This window comes from Homo sapiens, unplaced genomic scaffold, assembly GCF_000001405.40.
Source record: "Homo sapiens unplaced genomic scaffold, GRCh38.p14 Primary Assembly HSCHRUN_RANDOM_CTG21".
NCBI lineage: Eukaryota > Metazoa > Chordata > Mammalia > Primates > Hominidae > Homo > Homo sapiens.
Genome location: NT_187499.1, coordinates 45,338 through 66,595, shown reverse-complemented (window position 1 = coordinate 66,595; position 21,258 = coordinate 45,338). Strand labels below are relative to the sequence as shown.

Below are 21,258 nucleotides of genomic sequence, written 5' to 3'. Positions count from 1 at the left end.
TATAAATAGAATACCAACAGGATTCCTGTTGTATTCACATTATTCTCTAATTGGTACTTTTGCATTTCCACTCTGACCTGACCTTCAGTAGTTCCTTTATTTTTATTTTCAAGCATTTTTGTGAGTATATAATAGGCATATATATTATGGGGTGCATGAGATGTTTTGATACAGGCATGAAACATGAACTAATCACATCACGGAGAGTGGGTATCCAACCCTTTAAGCATGTATCCTTTGTGTTACAATCCAGTTAGATTCTTTTAGTTATTTTTAAATGTACAATTATTGATTAGAGTCCCCCTGTTGTGCTATCAAATAGTATGTCTTATTCATTCCTTCTGCCTATTTTTGTACCCATTACCCGTGCCCTGTCTCCCTCCCCAGCCCCCTAGTACTTACTATGTCCATGAGTTCAATTGTTTTGATTTTTAGATCCCACAAATAAGTGAGAACATTCAATGTCTGTCTTTCCGTGCTTGGTTTATTTCCCTTAACATAATGATATCCAGTTCCTTCCATGTTGTTGCAAATGACTGAATCTCATTCTTTTTTAGGGCTGAATAATACTCCACTGTGTGTATCTACCACATTTTCTTTAATACATTAATCTGTTGATGGACACTTAGGTTGCTTCCAAATCTTAGCTATTGTCAACAGTGGTGCAACAAACATGGGAGTGCAGATAATTTCTTCGATATACTCATTTCTTATTTTGGGGGTATATATCCAACAGTGGGATTGCTGGATCGTGTGGTACCTCCATTTTCAATGTTTAGAGGAACCTTCAAACTGTTCTCCACCGTGGCTGTACCAGTAGTACCTTAAAATGCAAATGCAATTGGTAAAAGAACAAGGCAGCATGTAGTGCTTGCACTTACAAATACTACCAGTTTTGTAAAAATTTGCATTTTTTCTGTCCTTGAAAGAGTAACCACTTAATAAAACAGATAATTAAAAGCGCAATATTCCTTCCTTTGCATGGTATGCAGGAATGGTGAAAGCAAAGAAACAGTCATCCCTTCTCTTCCCCCCACTTCTGGTCTCCCGAAATAGGAACGCCAGGTCAGATAGGTGGAGGAGGGAAATGGGGCACAGATCAAGGTATGATGAACCTCTTAAATAGAAATCTGGCCAGGCTCAGTGGCTCACGCCTGTAATCTCAGCACTTTGGGAGGTCGAGGTGGGCGGATCACGAGGTCAGGAATAGAGACCATCCTGGAGAACACGGTGAAGCCCCGTCTCTACTAAAAATACAAAAAAAATAGCCGTGTGTGGTGGCGGACACCTGTAGTCCCAGCTACTGGGAGGCTGGGGCTGGAGAATGGCATAAACCCGAGGGGCGGAGCTTGCAGTGAGCGGAGATGGCGCCACTGCATTCCAGCCTGGGCGACAGAGCGAGACTCCTTCCCCCCACCGCCAAAAATAAAAAATAAAATAAAATAAACACTTTCCCCAGAATGCTAGCCTGATGGGAACTCCACCCCATCCATTCCAACCTAGTAAGGATAGTTTAGTTGTCTTTTCTGGTCTCACTTCCTTACATCTAGTGTTCTTTTTTTGTTTCTGTTATTAAATTTCAGAAGACAAACCTTAGCATTTTCTAAAAGAAATTATTTTTTACCTAAATACATTGGACTTTGGTCTTAATTTGAAGGAATCGGATAAGTGGCCTTTAAGAGAGCGTTCCTACTCCTTCTCTTCCAGTGGCTGCTCTGAGTCCCTGAAAGAGGGTGTGATGTGAACCATCTGGGTTGTGAAGTGGATTTTGTTGAGCCTGTGTTTTTTAAGTCCATTAGTCCTGCCCGAGGCTGTGCGCCCTGGAATCCTTGGCTTCACCTCTGGACCACCTTCAGCCAAGTCGTGATGGTGGAGAGGGTCCCCCCATCTTCCAGGACGTGTGAGAGTTTGTAGGTGGTGAGATGGAGGAGGCACCTTTTAAATCTTCCAGTACCCACCCCCGCTGCTGGCGGTGCTCTCCCCTTCGTCCTTGTCCAGGACTCCCACCAGGGTCTCGATCTCTTCTGTGATGCTCTGACTCACATACTGGGAGGCCCTTTTCCCAATGTAGTCCCTGATGTCCACATCGGCGTCCTAGGTCCCCACTAGCAGCTTCACCATCTCCAAGGTACATGGCTGCCAAGTGCAGGGCGGTGTAGCCCTGGCCTTGCAGTTCCCAGGCAGCAGAGGCTCGTTGGGGAAGTTGACCAGCATGGCCAGAAGCTCCAGCCTGCGGTGCTAGGCGCCTGAGCAGGCAGGTGAGGCTGTGATGAAGCCCAGAGTGGCCAGAAGGCCGGCTGGCACGGGGGCAACCCCCTAAGCTGTCCACTCTCCATCGGAGGCTGAGAGAAGCCAGCCGTGCTCCCTGGTCCAGCTCACCCAGCCCCGCAGCTCTCCTCCTCCGCGGACGGGAAAGCCAGCGCTGCGCCACCACAGTCACTCGCCTCTGCGGTGTCCTCGGAGGAGAAGCTCCCAGGCTGCTGCCTCCAGGACACAGGTTCCTCTTCAGGGGCGGGGCGCTGCCCCTTCCCAAGTGGCTCAAGTTCTGGCGGAATGGCCTCGGGGCGGTAGCTCCCCAGGAGCTGCCCCTGTCCGCCTCCTGGCAACCGTGGGGCGGGGGCTCCAGGTCCTCGCTGGTCCCAGGTCCCGCGTCTGGGGTAGGGGCTGGTGGTGCCGGCGAGCTCTTCCTGTGTCCCCGCCGCTCAGGGCGGCCCGTGCAGGAGCTGGGCTCCCCCTCGCCCAGCTCGGCCCTGCCTGTGGAGCACCTCGGGGACCGCTGTTTCAGGAAGGGAATGGTGAATGCTGCGCTCCGCTTTCACGTGGACGCGGGACAGGTCCCAGGGGCGCGGCCTCAGGCGGAGGCCCCGCCAGAACCTCTTCCTGAGACGCAGGTACTGGGCGCCATCGGCGGGTTTGGGTTGGTGCAGTGGCCACAGCGTTCACCCGGAGATACATTTAAACAGTTTTATTCTCCTGTTTTTTTTTTTTTCATTCCAGAAACCATTACTACTATGCAACAAAGTAAAAATATCTAGTTTAAAGAATAATTTGATACGGTCAGGTGGGGATGAGTGCACACGTGTGTGTACACACACACGCAGGCTCTTAATGGGATATTTTGGCGGAGCAGAGGGATAAGGCTTTTATTTCGTTGGTGTGTTGAGTTAGAATCGCCCTTCTCACAATTAAATAATTTAAATCAGGAGTTTTGTTAAAGCTAATTTGTAGAACTAGACAACATCTTTTCTCCATATGTTTATACACATATACACATCTCTAATATTTGCATTTATTACTTCATCTAAAAGATCTTGGAAAAAGGGTCCTAAGTCTTTGGCTAGTTAAGGTAAAAATCTACATTTTAAAGTAATAAAAACATTTGCTATGGACAGAGACATGCAGACACTGTGGATGAAGCTGATTGATGTTCCATTGAAGGAAATGACATGGAGTTTTCTAAGGGAAAGCCCAGCATGCTGCAAGGAGAGGGGAGGTCCCGGGAGGGAAATGGAGTCAGCATTAGGATCTAAGTGTCACAGGGGAGTGTGTTCCCAAAAAAGACTGTGACTGTTTCTGTGTCCATCCTGAACTGGTTACCATGAGTGTGTGTGTGTGTGTGTGTGTGTGTGTGTGTGTGTGAATTAAAAGAGGAGTTACATGCTGGGGCATTCCTGGTATCTCAACTGGCATCTTAGCTGCTGGTGATGATGGCTATACAATTTCCTCAGTATTCAATGGTGCGTATTTTGAGTTAACAATCCACCCATTGGCTGAGGCAGGTGGATCATCTGAGGTGAAGAGTTCGACACCAGCTTGGCCAATGTGTGAAACTTTGTCTCTACTAAAAATACAAAAATTAGCCAGGCATGGTTGCAGCACCTGTAATCCCAGCTACTCGGGAGGCCGAGACAGGAGAATTTCTTGAGTCCAGGAGACAGAAGTTGCAGTGAGCTGAGATGGGCCACTGCACTCCAGCTTGGGCAGCAGAGTGAGACTTGGTCTCAAAAAAAAAAAAAAGTTATTGTGACATGCTGTACACATTCACAAATTCAGTGTCTCCCAGAAGTCTGAGATTCTTTTTTTTTTGAGATGGAATTTCACACTTGTTGCCCAGGCTGGAGTGCAATGGTGTGATGTCATCTAACTGCAACCCCTGCTTCGTGGGTTCAAGCGATTCTCCTGTCTCAGCCCAAGTAGCTCCTGCCTCCCAAGTAGCTGGGATTACAGGCATCTGCCACCATGCCCATCTACTTTTTTTATTTTTAGTAGAGTTGGGGTTTCTCCACGTTGGTCAGGCTGGTCTCGAACTCCTGACCTCAGGTGATCCACCCACCTCGGCCTCTCGAAGTGGTGGCCATGAGCCACCATGCGCAGCCAGAAAGTTTTAAGGCTATGATTATTAGACCATCATACACACACAAAGTACTTAAAAAGTTTCAGGAACGCTGTCCCTCATTGGCCTGGTATGACAAAGATAAAAAGAAGTCGGTCGTGAAAATTTCTGAATGTGGTTTAGGACAAGGAACCCCAGTAAGATTCAGAGACAACCTAGAAAATTGAAAGAAAATTTTACTACCCAAATCACCCTTCTATAAAACATAATAGAAGATGTCAAATATGAAAATAAAACTGTCCTCTGGGCCCTCAATTTTCTGTGTTATGGGGAAGGCAGACAGCTACTCAGCAGTTATATCCTATAAGAATGGATAACACTAAAACAACTGACAGCATCAAGTATTGGTTAGAAAGTGGAACTGATTGTCTCAAACATTTTCATTGTAGTTTAAGATGGCACAACCACTTAGGAAAATGTCTCCCCATTTCATACAATGCCAAATATATACTTATTTTATAACCCAGAAAATCCACTCTTAAACTCAAGAAATGTGAAAATATTATTACAGAAAAACGTGTATATCTGATTTGTTCGTAGCAGGTTTATTCATGATAGCCTCAAATCCGAAACTGCTTTTGTGTCTATCAATAGTGGAGTGGATTATAAACAAAACAAGCAAAGGCCTCAAACCTGTGGTATAGTCATAAAATTGAGTATTACAAAATAAAATTAATGAATAATCAATAGGAGCAAAATGATAAGTGTCACAAGCATGTTTAGTGAATGAACATAAAATTATATAATTTATAGTTTCACTTATGTAAATGGTGAAAACAGACAAAACTATCCTTTTGTGGAAAGAATCAAAACCATGGAAGCCTCTGTGTTCAAATACTCACTGGAAATGGGCATGAGAAAACGTGTTTCTGCCAGATCTTCTATATGCCTGATGTACATTCACTGGATGTATTTTGCATATACTATTTTTGCAAATAAAACTGAGATAGACGCAAAATAACTCAAGAGAAAATAGCTAGAAATATGTAGAGTTGGGATAGAAGCCTTGGAAGCTCCCCCCTACCTTGCTCACCTGGCACAGGCCAAGGAAGCCCTGGGACAATGCTGTGAGCGATCTGAGGGCCTTCCAGGGGAGCCCCGCCAGCCCATGCTGGTGCCCGAGCTGAGCTGCCCGCCGCCATCTGAATATGTTGCAAAGACAGTGCTGGCCTGGCAACCGGTGACGCTCCATGCCCCACCCCGACCCCCACTTCTACCCAAGTAGCGGCAACCCCAGAGACAGATGCCTGGGCAGCAGCGGCTAAGTCTGGCAATTGGCCAGGCGGCCAAAGGACAGGAACTGGCCGTTCACCCCATCCCAGTTTCCATGGAGCACTCAACCACCATGGCCCCTGAGCAGACCCTCAGGTTTGCCTGCAAACCTGACGTCATCCAGGGGAGCTCCACCTTCCCGCGCCAGCGCCTCAGCTGCTGCAGAAAGCTGCAAAACTGCAAGTTGCACACAGGCAGAGATGACGGAGCAACCCCTGACCCTCCGTGCCACTCACCCTACCCGCACACACACCTGCCACGTGGACCCTGAGGCCGGTGCCTGGGCGCCCAAGTCAGGCAGTCCGCACAGCAGTGGCACCAGGGTGAAAACCTGCTGCTCAATACCATCCCGGTTACCACAAAGAGCCAGCCCCGGCGGCCCCTGAGTTCTTGGAGGAGGCCAAGTCACAGCAACCCCTCAAGTGGGCGGGTGATGCACTTGACCCTGAGGACATCAGGTACCAGGCCCGCCAGCTCACGCCGGCATGGGAGCCGCAGCTGCAGTCTAGACGTGGTGCACCAGCAGTAAGTGACTGGACACCCCAGACCAGGCCCGCCCCCCAGTAGCGTGGATCCTGAGGCCAGACCCCCAGGGCGGCAGAATCAGGAGACGGGCCCCGCCAGCAGCCGCTCAGTTTCATCCGTGTGGATACAGAGTGTCCAGCACCAGGGCCCAGGATCCAGAGAGATGCCCAAGAGGAGCGGAACTTGAGGCCAGGTGGGCTGTGCGCTCTGCGACCCTGAAGCCATCCAAGGGAAGCTCCGCCATCCCACGCCAGTGCCAGATCTGCAGCTGCAAACCGCGCGTGGGGCACTGGCAGCAGTGAGGGCTGGTGGGGGAAGGAGCAGCCCCTGACTCTGCTTCCATGCCTCTCCAGCTACCTGACACTAGCCACACAGACTCCAGGGCCAGAGCCTCAGCTTGAAGCCGGGCCATCCGCAAAGCCACCCAGGTGGACGCGGAGTGCCCTTGCCAGCACCCTATCTCCCTTCCGAGGAGGAGCGGGGCGGGCTGCAAGGCCAGACAGGCCCTCCTTCTCAGGCCGGGCTGGTGGCGCTCCTGTGATCCTGGGGCCGCCCGGGCGATCCCAAGAGGACCTGCGAGCCCATCGGCGCCCGCCCAGAGCTGCAGCCCCAGCTGCCGGCGCGCACCGCCAGGGAGCGGCTTCCGGGAGCCGGGCAGCAACCGCCGTGCAGGCGCGCACCCAACGGCTTTGCGAGGCTCATTCGTTCTGAGAGGTCGGAGGCTGCGAGTGTCGCTGCTGAAGGCTGTGGTGGACCGGGCTGGATCGCGGACTTTTATTTAAAAATATTGAACTCCCCAAATGTATTTATCCATTCTTTCATTCCATTTATTCATCAAACATAACCTGAGTACCTGTTATGTAGCAGACATATTCTGCTATCTCTCAGGACCCTTCTGTCCTTAAAAACTTCATGTTTACCTGCCCTGCCTGCGCAAGCTAAGAGATTTAAAATAGGAATATTGGGACTTAATCTTCTTGAAACTTTGTCTCCCAACTTTCAAACAAAAGCATTTCTGAAGTTAGAAAATAGTACAAGATAACCTTTAACTGCCATTCAAAAGTTTATCAGTCTTAAATACTAATATTAATCATTGGAAAATCTTATTTGCATATATTCTGTAAGCATAAATATTGAATAAAATGAGCCATATGTATTCATTTGAATCATGAGTTTCCTTTGTCTTCAATTTGTTTGAAAATCAAGGAATTAATGTGTTTAAAAAATTCATTATTATTATTTCAGTGTTCTATCCCCATAGTACCTTTAAGAACTAAAATGTATTTACATGCCAGTTATATGCCTAGAAGTGCCCTAGACCTGCTGACTACACCATATTCTACTTAATGTAAGGTCTCATGGATTGTGAGATGCCCCGCTATTTTATATATCGATAAGATAATTTTTAAGATGCTACCAATTATAGTTATAGTAATATAAGTGACATTCCAATGTCAGAAGTGTTAAAATGTGATCTACTCTTTAAGCCATCCTGCAAAGTAGGTATAATTGTGTCTTTTACCTAATTAAATTGTTTTTGTTAAGTAGTAGTAATAGTAACAATTATAATATCTGGCTGGGTGCAGTGGCTCACACATGTAATACCAGAACTTTGGGAGGCTGAGGTGAGAGGATTGCTTGGTGCCAGGAGTTTGAGACCATCCTGGGCAACAAAGTGAGATTCTTACTCTACAAAAATTTTTAAATAAATAGCTGGGCATGCGGGTGCACATCTGTAGTCCCAGCTACTCAGGAGGCTGGGGATGGAGGATCGCTTGAGCCCAGGAGTTCCAGGCTGCAGTGAGCTATAGTTACATCATTGCACTCCAGCCTGGGCAAAAGAGTGAGACTTTGTCTCAAAAAACAAAAATCTTACAATTATTGAGTTGTTATAGGAACTATTCTAAATACATAGCTTCTCATTTAAGCATCACGATGGTGTCCTATGAGATAGCTACTATTGTCATCTTTCTTAATGAGGAAGTTGAGACACAGAAAGGCTAAGCAATAGTTGGTAAGTTACAGGGTTTAAAGTAGGACTCAAGCCCTGGTTGAACTGAATCCAAAGAGTGAGCTCTTTCTATTCAAATAGGCTGCTGTTTTCATTAAGGCAGTGAGCAATAAGAGCTAGTAAGTATTGTGCTTTCTTCAGCAAAATTAAGTATTTGTTTTGAAGGCAGAGGAAAAACATGCTCTTCAATTTTTACAGTTACATGAATGATTGTATGTTTTGAGATGTTGCACTACAGTTTCCTAAAAAGTCCTCTTACTCTCGTAGAACTGCTCTACATTTGGCCTGTGCCAGTGACCATGTGAAAGTGGTCACTCTCCTGGTTAGCAGAAAATGCCAGATTGATATCTGTGACAAAGAAAATAGAACGCCTTTGATACAGGTATATTAGAGCCAACTCTTTTAGCATGACATGGATTTGATTTGCATACATAAAATTAAAATAAATTGATCTCATTTAAATATAACTAGTTGGTGAAACCTGTGGAATGTGTATTTTGAATTTCTTAGACTTTACAATCTATTTATTGGTCTAATACGGACAGGCTGTCCATTGCCAGGAAGAGGCTTGTGCCGTTATTCTGCTGGAACATGGCACCAATCCAAACCTTAAGGATATCTATGGCAACACTGCTCTCCATTATGCTGTGTATAGTGAGAACACCTCACTGGCAGAAAAACTGCTTTTCCATGGTGCAAATATTGAAGCACTGGACAGGGTATAGATCAATCAACTTTCTTTCCAAAATATTTGTTTTAACATTGACATAGGTAAGGGTCATTTTTTTATATTTGGAAGCTCAACCATTCCCTGAATGCAAATGCAAATTTTTTTGAAATAATTGTCTAAGATTTTATTTTAAATATTCATAATTTTAAAGGAGCATTAAAGGGTACAGCTTTATAAAACGCACTTTGGAAAATATTTCTGAATTTGTTAAAGGTAAAAACTTTTCAACTTCTTTTCTACGCAGGGTTATTCTTTCCTTTTTTCCCCCCTAATTAGTGTAAAACATCACAGGAAAGAACATATGCCCTGGAAGTAGGATTTATCTTAAAACTCAGACAAAACTAAAGCAACTTACAAGAAGTGGACATGTTGCTGCTGCTGATAATTTTCTGAAAAACTGATGTATCATCTCTCAGTGGCACAAGGCTTGAGAGGGAAAAATGAGAAGGGAAAAGGAGAGCAATCAGAAATATGCAGGTCACTTGGAAATTAGGTAATGAGGGAAAATGCCAAGAAGAGTTTTTTTTTTTTCTCTTAGTTTGTTGTTCTTCCAGTTTATGTGTTGAGACAAGGCGTTCCTTAGCTTTGGGTCTAATAATTTTTGGTTTGAAAATGACAGTGAGTTGAAACTTGCCTAGAGATTAATTTTAGGAAGACTTTGAGGAAACCAGATTAGCAGGGAATATGTGGTGATGAAGTGGGAAACACTTCAACAGAAGGTGGAACAAATTATTAACTGACTTATTGCCCATCCTGGCAGAAACAGCCACTTAGATAAGAGTCTAAAGCCTCCTCTCAAACCTAGAATGTCTTGGTGGAAGGTAGGAGATAAGGAGCTTATAAATAGGAAAATCAAGTGGGATTTTGAGTTTACTTGTCTGTGTTCTACCCATACCCAGAAAACTTAACTGGAGCTTTGATAAATGACACTATCTCTTACTCTTTTCTCTTTTTGGCCACATGTCCAACTGATAAAGGGAATTAGCCATGGGGACGAGAGATGAGACTGAAGTGATTGCTGCACTAATTCTCAGAATTGTGCATTACAGTGACCTGAGGACATTTTGTTAAAAATCTACAATTGTAGGCTTTCCCCTGAGGATTTTGATATAATAGATCTAATAAGGCCTGAACATTTTTAACAATGTTTTCTTGAAGCTGGGCACAGTGACATGTTCCTGTAGTCCCAGCTTGAGCCTGAGTTTAAGTTCAGCTTGAGCACCATAGTGAGACTCTTGCCTCTAACAACAATAACAGAAAAAAAAAAAAAAAACTCAAGTTTTGGATACACTCCTGATTAAGAACCCCAGAATAGATACGTGCAACATATAAATTTCTGTATCTCAAAAATGTAAGAAATCTCTAGAAGAATTGGTGTTTGATAGGTGCTACTTCCTTCAAAGTTCTCCTTTTCAGTAATATTAGCCTGACATCTGTTTTTCTCTACATCTGTGACTGGGAAGTGAAAAGAAATATTACTGGTAATATCTCTCAGCTTACAGAATAACACCTTTTCCTTCCCACCGTTAATCCTTCACAAACATTCAGGGAGTCTTTAGCAATTTGCTTATGGGTAATCTTTCAATAAGTAGAGGCTGACCCTTTCATGATTTCATGTCCCTTTGTCACCATGCACGTGATTATGTGTCAACAAATGTTCATTACAAGTTGGGTTTTCTCAATTAGAATAGTAGCAAATCCTAAACTTTTGTTTTAGTTGAAGTTGTATTATGAACTAGCTCAGTATGTTTGTTAAGTTTATAGAGCTTTAGCATACCCAAAATGTCAGTTTTAAACACTGAAGTCCATGGAGTTAATAAAAATACAGATATGAATTCTTTTAATAATTTAGTTTTAGCAGTCCTATGAACCAGTTATCTATTTGGTTAACAATCTTGGAAAATTATATAAAAATATATTTTAAATGAATAAATGTTGGAAAAATTCTTGAAGCAGGTATTATGAGTCTTTTTTGGCAATTTTTATTATATATGAGAGCCTGATTTTTTGGTAAAACCTATGATACTAGAGAAAGAAAATATTTTACATGCAAATACTTGGATTATACACAACCATTTAGTAACACATTAGAAGCGAATATAAAAACACAAGGGCTATTTTCTAATGTGGCACACAGATTTGTTTGTTTGCCTCTATAAGTTGAATCAGCATGTAAAATTTAGAAGACTGGTGTAGAAATCTGGACTTCAGGCTTATTCTAAAAAATCAAATCTGGCATCTCTGAGTTTCTATCACTGTTTGATCTGCTGTGCAGAGGTTACCCCTTTAGAGAAGGTATGTATTCTCCAGTTTGGTACTGTGCCCACCTTAGTACTTCCTTTACTCAGGCAACCCTGCTTTGTCCTTGTAAGTATCTGAGTTTACAACTCCTATGTTATAGTATATTTTGATAAAGATTTCAAGGTTTTTAAGTCAGCATGTATTTGTTATAATATATAGTCTATAGAGTATATAAATCCCTCAGTTATGGAGTTGAATTTTAGAATTTAGAAGTTTTGAAACTCTTTTCTTTATATATACCACAAATAATTATCTGTCCATAAGAATGCCTAGAAGCCTTTTTAGGTTATTCCTGGTTATAGTTGGATAATTTATGAATATTGCAGACATTACATCTTTCTCCTCAGGGCTCTTCCTTAGAAATGCCAGTGACTTACTGGCTTTTATTATGCCAGAAATAATTCATATGGATCAGTATGAGAACTTTTATTGATAAGACATTATGTTTTTATTTCTGATTTATATTTTGTCTAAAATAAAAAATAATTTTAAGTAGCCCTTTAAGTGGAAGCCAATAAAAATGGATTTAAAAAGTAGAGCTGCCCTGAGGTCCTGGGATTACCATTATAATTGAGAATGGTATTTCTTACTGAGCTTTGGTTTTTTAAATATTTGTTCTTAAGTTTTTTAAACCTATTTCTCTTACACAGAACATACTGAGCTTTCTAACAGTAAAGATAAAAATCTGTTCTCTCGTATTAGGGAAAAAACCCATGGACTATTTAATAATAAGGAAAATAAGTGCATTGGAAGCCAATCTCTCTTAATTCAGAGCTCATTTCCATAGTGACCCATTTGGAGCAGGAGTGCCTGACATTGGCATCTGCGATCCTGACAGCATTGATAGAAGTGAATCAAGCAAGTTTGTACCACTCATAAGAAACCTCCACCTGCATTGGGAAGCTCTGGCAACTGTACCCCTAAAACAATTCCTCAAATGTTAATGTTTGCCACAAATAGTATTGTCAAATGGGGATTAGGTAAACTTCAATAGATTTCTTGATTATTGGACATAACATACAGTTTTATAATATTTCTCAAATGCAGATTGTCATGGAGTCTTTCTCTTGGGGTATAATACTTCTGGTAAAGCAAATATTCTTTGGAATATAGTTTAAGAAACACTGCTTTAGTGAGAATAATTTAGATCATTAATTTCTGTAAAAAACTTAAAATGTTTGCTACTATGTCTTCGGGTTTTGGGGCTATAGAGACAAAAGATACAGCCCTTGCCTCAAGAAGCTCTTGGTTTCAGTGGGAAACAGTGAAATGATTACAATGTACCATGCTAAGTGCTGTGAACAAAGCAAGGATTCTTGGGACTGGTAAACTTTTAAAGTGAGTTTTGGCAATGACCACAGTTAATCTGGGGAGACAGAGGAGGGTTGTTGCAAGGCAAAGCCCAGCACATCAGAAAGCACAGAGGAGTGAGAAGGAAGGGGCTGCTTTTCATTTACTTCCTTTCTATATTGTATGTTGAAGTTCAAAACATCCCAGAGAAGATTTTCATTTCAGTTGAGAAATATGTAATTTTGTGAATTATTAATTTTTTTTGTGCTGTTTCATAGGACAATAATACTCCACTTTTATTCACCATAATTTGCAAGAAAGAGAAAATGGTGGAATTTTTATTGAAACCCAAAGCAAGTACACATGCTGTTGATAGGCTGAGATGGTACAGTTGTTCTTTTTTAAAAAATAAAACCTGAGTATTCTAGAGTGGTAACAGTCACTCAAGTCAGAAATATCAATAAGAAGATTAACATAATTATTGGCATATAATGAAAAATATCACCACGAATAATCAGGTAGACCAGCAAATATTTGGACTGAGTAACATAAAGAATAGTATATAGGAGGATTCACCTTCTCTTATAATATAGAGTGTTTGGTATTTATGATCAGATGTTTTTGGTACTGTAATCTTTTATGAGCTAAAGGGTTTTGTATTAGTTTTATTAATTTTTTTTTGAGATGGAGTCTTGCTCTGTTGCCAGGCTGGAGTGCAGTGGTGTGATCTTGGCTCACTGCATCCTCCACCTCCCAGGTTCAAGCGATTCTCCTGCCTCAGCCTTCCTAGTAGCTGGGACTACAGGTGCACGCCACCATGCCCAGTTAATTTTTGTATTTTTAGGAGAGATGGGATTTCACCATGTTGGCCAGGATGGTCTCGATCTCTTGACCTCGTGATCTGCTCTCCTTGGCTTCCCAAAGTGCTGGGATTACAGGCATGAGCCACTGCACCTGACCAGTTTTATTAATTTTTGAAGTGTGGACTTTTCGTTTATGACTACTAGTATTGTCATTATTATTATTATTGTCATTGTTGTTGTTGTTGTTTTCAGCCTGCACATAGCTCTTATCTGACCCCTAGCTGATTGGACTGGGAAAGCAATGGGGAAATCTTCATCTAAGTCTTTGCCTACTTTACATAAGTGACCTCAGCACAGTTCAGTTTCTTGGCCATCAAAGGACTATAAGTTAGCAACTTGTATTATGTCTTACCCCAGTGGGACAAGAGGCTTCCCTGTTGTCCCTTTCTTTTAGTCTTGGTGACAATTTACTAAGATGAACACTTGAGCACCCTAGATGCTTATAGACCCAAGCTAGTACATGCAAATGGTTATTACGTCTACACTGACAGGCGGATATTAAACTGGTAAATAAAGTGTATCAAACTAGCTTTTGATATTAAAGTTCTTGAGTGGAGTTATTTCTTTGTTATTTTAGGTCAGCCCTCATGCTTGCTATACACTATGACTCACCAGGTATTGTCAATATCCTTCTTAAGCAAAATATTGATGTCTTCACTAAAGACATGTGTGGACGAGATGCAGAAGATTATGCTATTTCTCATCATTTGACAAAGTAAGTGTTTATGTTAAAAGGCCAGTTGATACTAAATTGAAGTTTAAAATAATTGCAACTACTCCATCTTACACATTAGGTGACAGTTCATAGTTTGGTTCAGATAGTTTGAAATAGCCATGAGTTAGTCTACCTTTTAGCCAGAAATCAAGCAGAAGTCTAGATTAGTTAGAAGTAGAGTGCAAGATTTTTTCTGGATTTTTGAGAACTTTATCCCTAGGGATCTCAATGTTGTTCATTTTATTCTAAGTATAATCCCCATGCATTGGATAAAAAGAGCCACATCTTTGATTTTTTTCCTTTCCTTTCTTTTTTTTCTTTTTTTTTTTTAGAGACAAGGTCTCACTCTGTTGTCGTGGCCGGTCTTGAACTCCTGAGCTCAAGTAATCCCCCTGCCTTGGCCTCTGAAAGTGCTAGCCACCATGCCTGGTCTAACTTTTCTAATTAGTTATTGAGTCTTTTAATGTCCAATTTAGCAGAAAATCTTGTATTTTCCCCTGGGGCTGTCTCCTGTGTCTTCCTTCTTTGAATTTTCCAAGAAGCTAAGGGATTTCCTAAGTCCAAGGAAGGCAATCTTTCTTTGCAAGTCAGAAGAAGGGGAAAAAAAGGACATTCAAATCATTCTGTTGTTTCCATGGCCTCACTTGCTGTATTATTGCCATTGTCACTGGACCTGCAATCTGATAATGATTGACCTTTGCCACCAGGATGCCTTCACTGATTCAGACCTCTCAGTTTTCATGGTGATTCATATATACAGGTCAAAGCTACAGTGTTTATTAGTTTATGTACTTGTGCTCAGTTATTTTTCCCAGCACCCTGCTCTGGTAGCTAGGCCTCCTAGCTTTATCCACACAAATATTGAGCAAATTGATGCTCATCCTACACTGAAAACCTTATTTGGAGTCCACCTCTTAGCTAGACTTTGCCTAGGCCTTCATGGGATGTTATCCTTTGAGAGCCATGCTTGTCTTTCCTTTAACCAATATTAGTTGGTATTGTTCTCAATAGTCAGGGATGTTCAAATAATGTTGCAGGAAGAGATCAGAGTTCCGCTTCCCTTTTGCTGTCAGATCTGTACCTTGAGGCTTTTTTATATCCTGTGCAGCAGTTTTGGTTAGATACCAGAATGTTCCATGTTCTCTTTCCACTGAGTAGTGGGAACCAGCTTGCAGTTGGTGCCTCAAGTAATGTGTCTCTATATTCATGAAAATCTCCTGGGCTACTTGCAGCTCTTCCTCAAGTTTTCAATATATTTTAAAATTCTACCTCACAGGAAGCCATTCAATAAAATTCTCTGAATCTGAAGTAAGTGAGTTGGATTTGACAGAGCTAAGCCTCATCCATGACTCATGAGTATCCATGTATCAAACAGGGCTTTGTACTTATTTCAACAGCACATATTTTAAATTGGATCAATACAGAGCAGATAAGCATGGTTACTGCCTAGGGATGGCACACAAATTCAGAAAGCATTCCATATTTTGCATAGACCCAGGAAGGCCATTTGACTATTTGTTGAGTAGCTCCGAGGAAGCAGTGTGAGGAAAACCAAAACAGGTGACACGCAATATTGAAACTGTGATTATCACTGTGAAACTATTGATGTACAGTGATCTCTGAAATGGGAACAGAGCTGAGTAATAAGGGGATGTTACATGTTGTTAGTACATGTCTTGGAAATGAGAAAATGTCAACTTGCATTTCCTTCATGGAACTGAAAAACAATCAAGGCAGGGTTTTTTCTTGTCTGTTAGTTGGAGAGGACCATCGATATCCAGCAGCCAAGCACAAATCTGCTGGCTCAGAGTTTGAGGAGGTAGAGAAGGAGTGGTAGTTTTCCAAGCCAGGTTTTGACACCTATTAGTTTTCTGCCCTTGGTGTGATTGATGAGCTCAGTGATGAGCTCATTAAATTTATATGTATATAAATTTAGTAATAAGTTATGAATTAGGTAAAATGCCCTGAATTACAAGCCACAACGAATGCAAGTAATAACCAAAATTAGCACTTAATAACATTTTCTGAAAACTGCAACATTTGAATATTAGAACTTATAGAAAAACACACACCGAGCATTATTTGTGATTCCAAAATGGTTTCAGCAAGAAGGTTCAAGAATAAATTATTTCATTGCTTTATTATTTCTCTGAACATTTAAACATGTAATCTCATTACATCTTCCAAACAACCTAGTGAAGTAAGGTAGCAGAATCCTTATTTTTTAGAAGAAACCATGGAGCCTAAGAGAAGCAACTTGTCTGAAAACAAAATACCTACAGAGCGAAGTATTTTGGTTACAGAGCGAGGACTTACTCTGAGGGCAGGACAATTTGCATGATATCCAGCTAACTAGAGGTAATTTACTCAGCTGTGCTTCCTCCATTTATGAGTACTTCACTTTCTTTTCTTCTTTAATTATAAGCTTAATAAGCTTGTAAGTTTTAAAAATTTGAAGTGTATGGGACATTAAAATTCTGATACTAGGTCTGATACTGCCTAAAATGTTTTTGGAATTTAATATGTTTGGTAAATATTTTTTATTTCAGTATTAAAATAGCAATTTTATTTATTACTTTGGTATATGTAGAATTCAACAACAAATTTTGGAACATAAAAAGAAGATACTTAAAAAGGACAAACGAGGTAAGTCTTCTGAGAGTGAATTTCTTACTTCTCTTGGTGGTCCTACTCTTGATAAGAAAATAAGAAGTAAGACGTAAGATTAAGGTAGTGCCAGTCAAAAAAGACCAGTTTAAAAATATGTATAAATTCAATGTGTATATATGTATATACATATGTAAATTAATTTTTTAAATATAACTTCTTTAGTTTGAAATTCAGATTTATTTAAGAAGGTAGTTATAGCTAATTTATAATCTCAAACATTATGGTCTAAAAACATTCATTTATTTAATTATGATCCCTAAAACCCTACATAATATTTTTGAATAAATAAGAAAAAACATTTTTAAGTTAATATGTTGTATGTTTCCTCTATAGTCACATTATAACAAATTGGACTTGTTATACAAATGGATCTTCTATTTCATTTTTATAGTAAATTGTTTACATTTACTAAACAAATAACTACAGTTGACCCATGAATAATGTGAGGGTAACAATCCTGTGAGGTTGACAATCCGAGTATAACTTTTGATTACTTCACCTTAGCTAGTAATAGCCCACCATTGACTGGAAGCCTTCCTGATAACATAAACAGTTGATGAACACCTATTTTATTTGTGCTGCATTATGATGTACTGTGTTAGTACAATAAAATAAGCTAGAGAAATGAAGCTGTTAGAAAGGAAATCATCAGGAAAAACATATTGACTTTTCATAAAGCATTAGTAGTTCCTGGCAAAGGTCTTTATGATCTTCAGGTTGATTAGGCTGAGGAGGAAGAGGAGAGGTGGATCTTGCTGTCTCTGCATTGCAGAGGCAGAAGAAAATCTGCATATAAGTGAATCCCTGCAGTTGAAACCCTTGCTGTTCAAGGGTGAACTGTATTACATATTGATTTGTGTCACTAAGAAAGTAACTATCTTTAGAACCAGCAACTCAGCAATCCCTTTCTGGTACCATAAATAAATGGCAATAAGAACTGTAGAACTGAACCAGCGGGCACCCATACAAATAGGAGATTATTTTTTTTAAGATAGCTACTGAGCACAGAAGATGGAAAAGCAATTCCTCTGTGAGAAGCACAAGTTATATTACATATTCTTACACAAGCAAAATGATTTCATCTGTCATAGTTTACATGCATACACATACACACACGCACATGTGCACACACGTGTGCACACAGACACAAAGTTAAAAGTCCTGCTGATTCTTAATGACCAAATCCAACTGTTCATAGAGAGCGGTGGATAACACATCCTACTGTTTGGATGCAATTCTTTTGACTTTTTGACTTGTTTTGCCATGAATTGCCTTTAATGGGTTTAAATCATGTTTTTAGTTTTATGAGAAACAAAGAAAAAGATTAGAAGCAAGTAAACAGGAACTCTATGGTCAGTAGTAGATGATAATAGTATATTCAATAATCATATGTTTTTCTCCAGTTATACAATTTACTTGAATGATGCACAATTAATCAATTATTATTATCATAGCAGATGGGGTCTCTCTATGTTGCCTAGGCTAGAATACAGTGTCTGTTCATTGGTGCAATCATAGCTCACTGTAACCTTGAACTCCTGGGCTCAAGCAGTCCTCCTACCTCATACTCCTGAGTAGCTGAGACTACAGTTTTGTGTGGTTACATCTGGCCTGATACACAATTGTTTATTTGTTTATTTATTTTTGATACAGGGTTTCCCTCTGTTTCCAGTACTGGCATGCAGTGCTGCCATCTTGGCTCACTGCAACTTCTGCTTCCTGTACTTAAATGATCCTTTCACCTTTGCCTCCCAAGTAGCTGCGACTACAGGCATGCACTACCACACTTGGCTAATTTTCTTTTTAAGGGTGCTTTTTTGTTTATTTGTTTGTTTAATAGGTGAGGTGTCACTATATTTCCGAGGCTGGTCTGGAACTTCTGGGCTCAAGTGATCCTCCTGCCTCAACCTCCCAAAATGCTCGGATTTACAAGTGTGAGCCACTGCACCTGGCCTGCACAATTATTATAAAAAGGAATGAAGCCCAGTTGAGTTGCAGAAAATTGACCACTTTTTCATTTTTTTTTCTAAAAACATTCATGTTGTAGAACATATTGTCAATCACCCAGATTGTCTATTTTTTGTTCGGTTAAAAGAGGATTGCTCCTTATTTCACATTATTTTCTGACATTATTGTTTCATTTATTCCTTTTATGGTTTTATTCAATTAGATAGATATAGAAATACAAGAATCTCCAAGTCAAATATCAAGGGCAAAAAAGAAAAGAAAAACAGATTAGGGAAAGTTATTCTGTGAAATAACCATCTGATTACAGTTACATATATCATATCAACTTAATACAAATCTTACACAACACATTTGTGTCAAGGTTTCCCAAGACCACCCCAGGTTTGTTGGTTCATTAGAAGGACTCACAGGACTCAGCAAATAGTCATACTCAGATCTTTAATTGATAACAAGAAAGGGGACAAGCAAAATTAGTAGAGGAAAAAGTGCATGTGGTCAATTCTGGAGGAAACGAGCCACAAGCCTCCAGGAGTTCCGTTCTGTGGAGTTCCCTGGATCTGCTTAATTCTCCCAGGCTCACATTTTGACAACATATGTGCAGCGATGTCTACCAGTACCAGAGTCTCATTAGAGACTAAGTGCCCAAGTTTTTCTATGGGGGTTACTCTCCCTCTCATGTACCCAAATTCCAGACTCTTACAAGGAAAGCAGCTGTTCAGAGAAAACACACTGTTTCTATAAACACTTTAGACACAGTGAGCCACTCTTCTCAGGGAATGGTGGAAACCCTCCCAATTCTAATTTCCTAAACACCAGCCAAGGGCCAGCCTTGCATGCAGGCCTTTCTAAGGATGGCAGTCTCTTGCCTGTTATATGAAATCTTTTCTGCACACTTTGTATAGCTCCAACTTAATTTTTGGTGTTGTTTTAAAATTTCATTTTAATAATATAATATTATAAGATAAGGTAACTTGGTACTAATTTCTGTTGTATGATTCATCTTAAGTTGCAGCACTGGTTACTTTTTTGACTTTCGGTGTCGAACAGCTATTTGTACATAAGTTACCATAGCAATGTTAGGTAACTATAATCTGTCCTATTTATCTCATTTACCTTTCAGTAAAATTGTTAAATAAGCAAAATAATTTCTGAGTTAAAATTAGAATGAAAATTGTCTTTTATTTGGATTACATGAATAATCGAATTTTCATATTGTGCTAAAGCCCTGCTTAGAATTATGAAATAAGATAAAATATTCAATCATTTTTATCAATATTTTCTTACCTAAGCATGCAATTACATTTATTATTTTATATATTTTATATACTTCAATTTGAGAAATAATGACCACATGTTGTTACTTTGGTCTTCAATGATCTCTAATTTTTAGGGTCACCGTGTCTTGCTTAAATATATCATAGTAACAGGTTCAGTGAATATCTTTATGTTTTATTTTATTTACTTATTTTTTTTGAGACAGAGTTTTGCTCTTGTTGCCCAGGCTGCAGTGCAATGACACAATCTTGGCTCATTGCAACCTCCACCTCCCAGGTTCAAATGATGCCCCTGCCTCAGCCTACCAGGTACCTGGAACTACAGGTATGCACCATCATGCCCGGCTAATTTTTTGTATTCAGTAGAGATGGGGTTTCACGGTGTTAGTCGGGCTGGTCTCGAACTCCTGACCTCAGGTGATCCACCCACCTTGACCTCTCAAAGTGCTGGGATTACAGACATGAGCCACTGCCCCCAGCCATCTTTTTTATTTATTTATTTTAATTGTTGTTCTGGAGATCCTGGGATGCATAGACAGTGAATATCTTCTTTGTTTTTTGAGATGGAGTCTCACTCTGTCTCCCAGACTGCAGTGCAGTGGTGTGATCTTGGTTAACTGCAACTTCCACCTTCTAGGCTCAAGCTATTCTCCTGCCTCAGCCTCCCGAGTAGCTGAAATTACAGGTGCCAGCCACCATGCCCAGCTAATTTTTGTACTTTTATTAGAGACGAGGTTTTGCCATGTTGGCCAGGCTGGTCTTGAACTCCTGACCTCAGGTGATCCACCCACTTTTGCCTCCCCAAGTGCTGAGATTACAGGCATGAGCCACTGAGCCCAACTGAATATCTTTTTTAAATCAATAACCTTATTTCTTAGAGCAGTTTTAGGTTCACAGCAAAATTGAGAGGAAGGTACAGAGATTTTTCATATACCCCACGCCTCCCACACACGCATAGCCTCCCCCATTATTAGTATTTTCCACCAGAGAGTGGTTCATTTGTTACAACTGATGAACTTACATTGACACGTTATAGTCACTCAAAGTTCATAGTTTACATCAGGCCTCACTCTTGATGCTGTACATTCTGTGAATTTGGACAAATGTATAATGACATGACATGTATCTATTACTGTAATATTATCGACAGAACAGTTTCACTGCCCTAAGAAGTATACTATGCCTGTTCATCTCTCCCTTTCTCCCTAGGAACTCGTGGCAACCATTGATGTTTACTCTGTCTTCA

General features: G+C 40.7%; 1 non-coding gene and 1 pseudogene across 1 annotated transcript; one reads left to right on the top strand and one right to left on the bottom strand.

The window, feature by feature from the left end:
- On the bottom strand, positions 1,416-9,920 carry LOC642249 (ankyrin repeat domain 57 pseudogene; annotated as a pseudogene).
- Positions 15,482-15,587, top strand: LOC124905334 (U6 spliceosomal RNA). The gene has a single exon (XR_007068554.1). It is a non-coding gene; the product is annotated as a U6 spliceosomal RNA (small nuclear RNA).
- Positions 15,588-21,258: the final 5,671 nt, after the last annotated feature.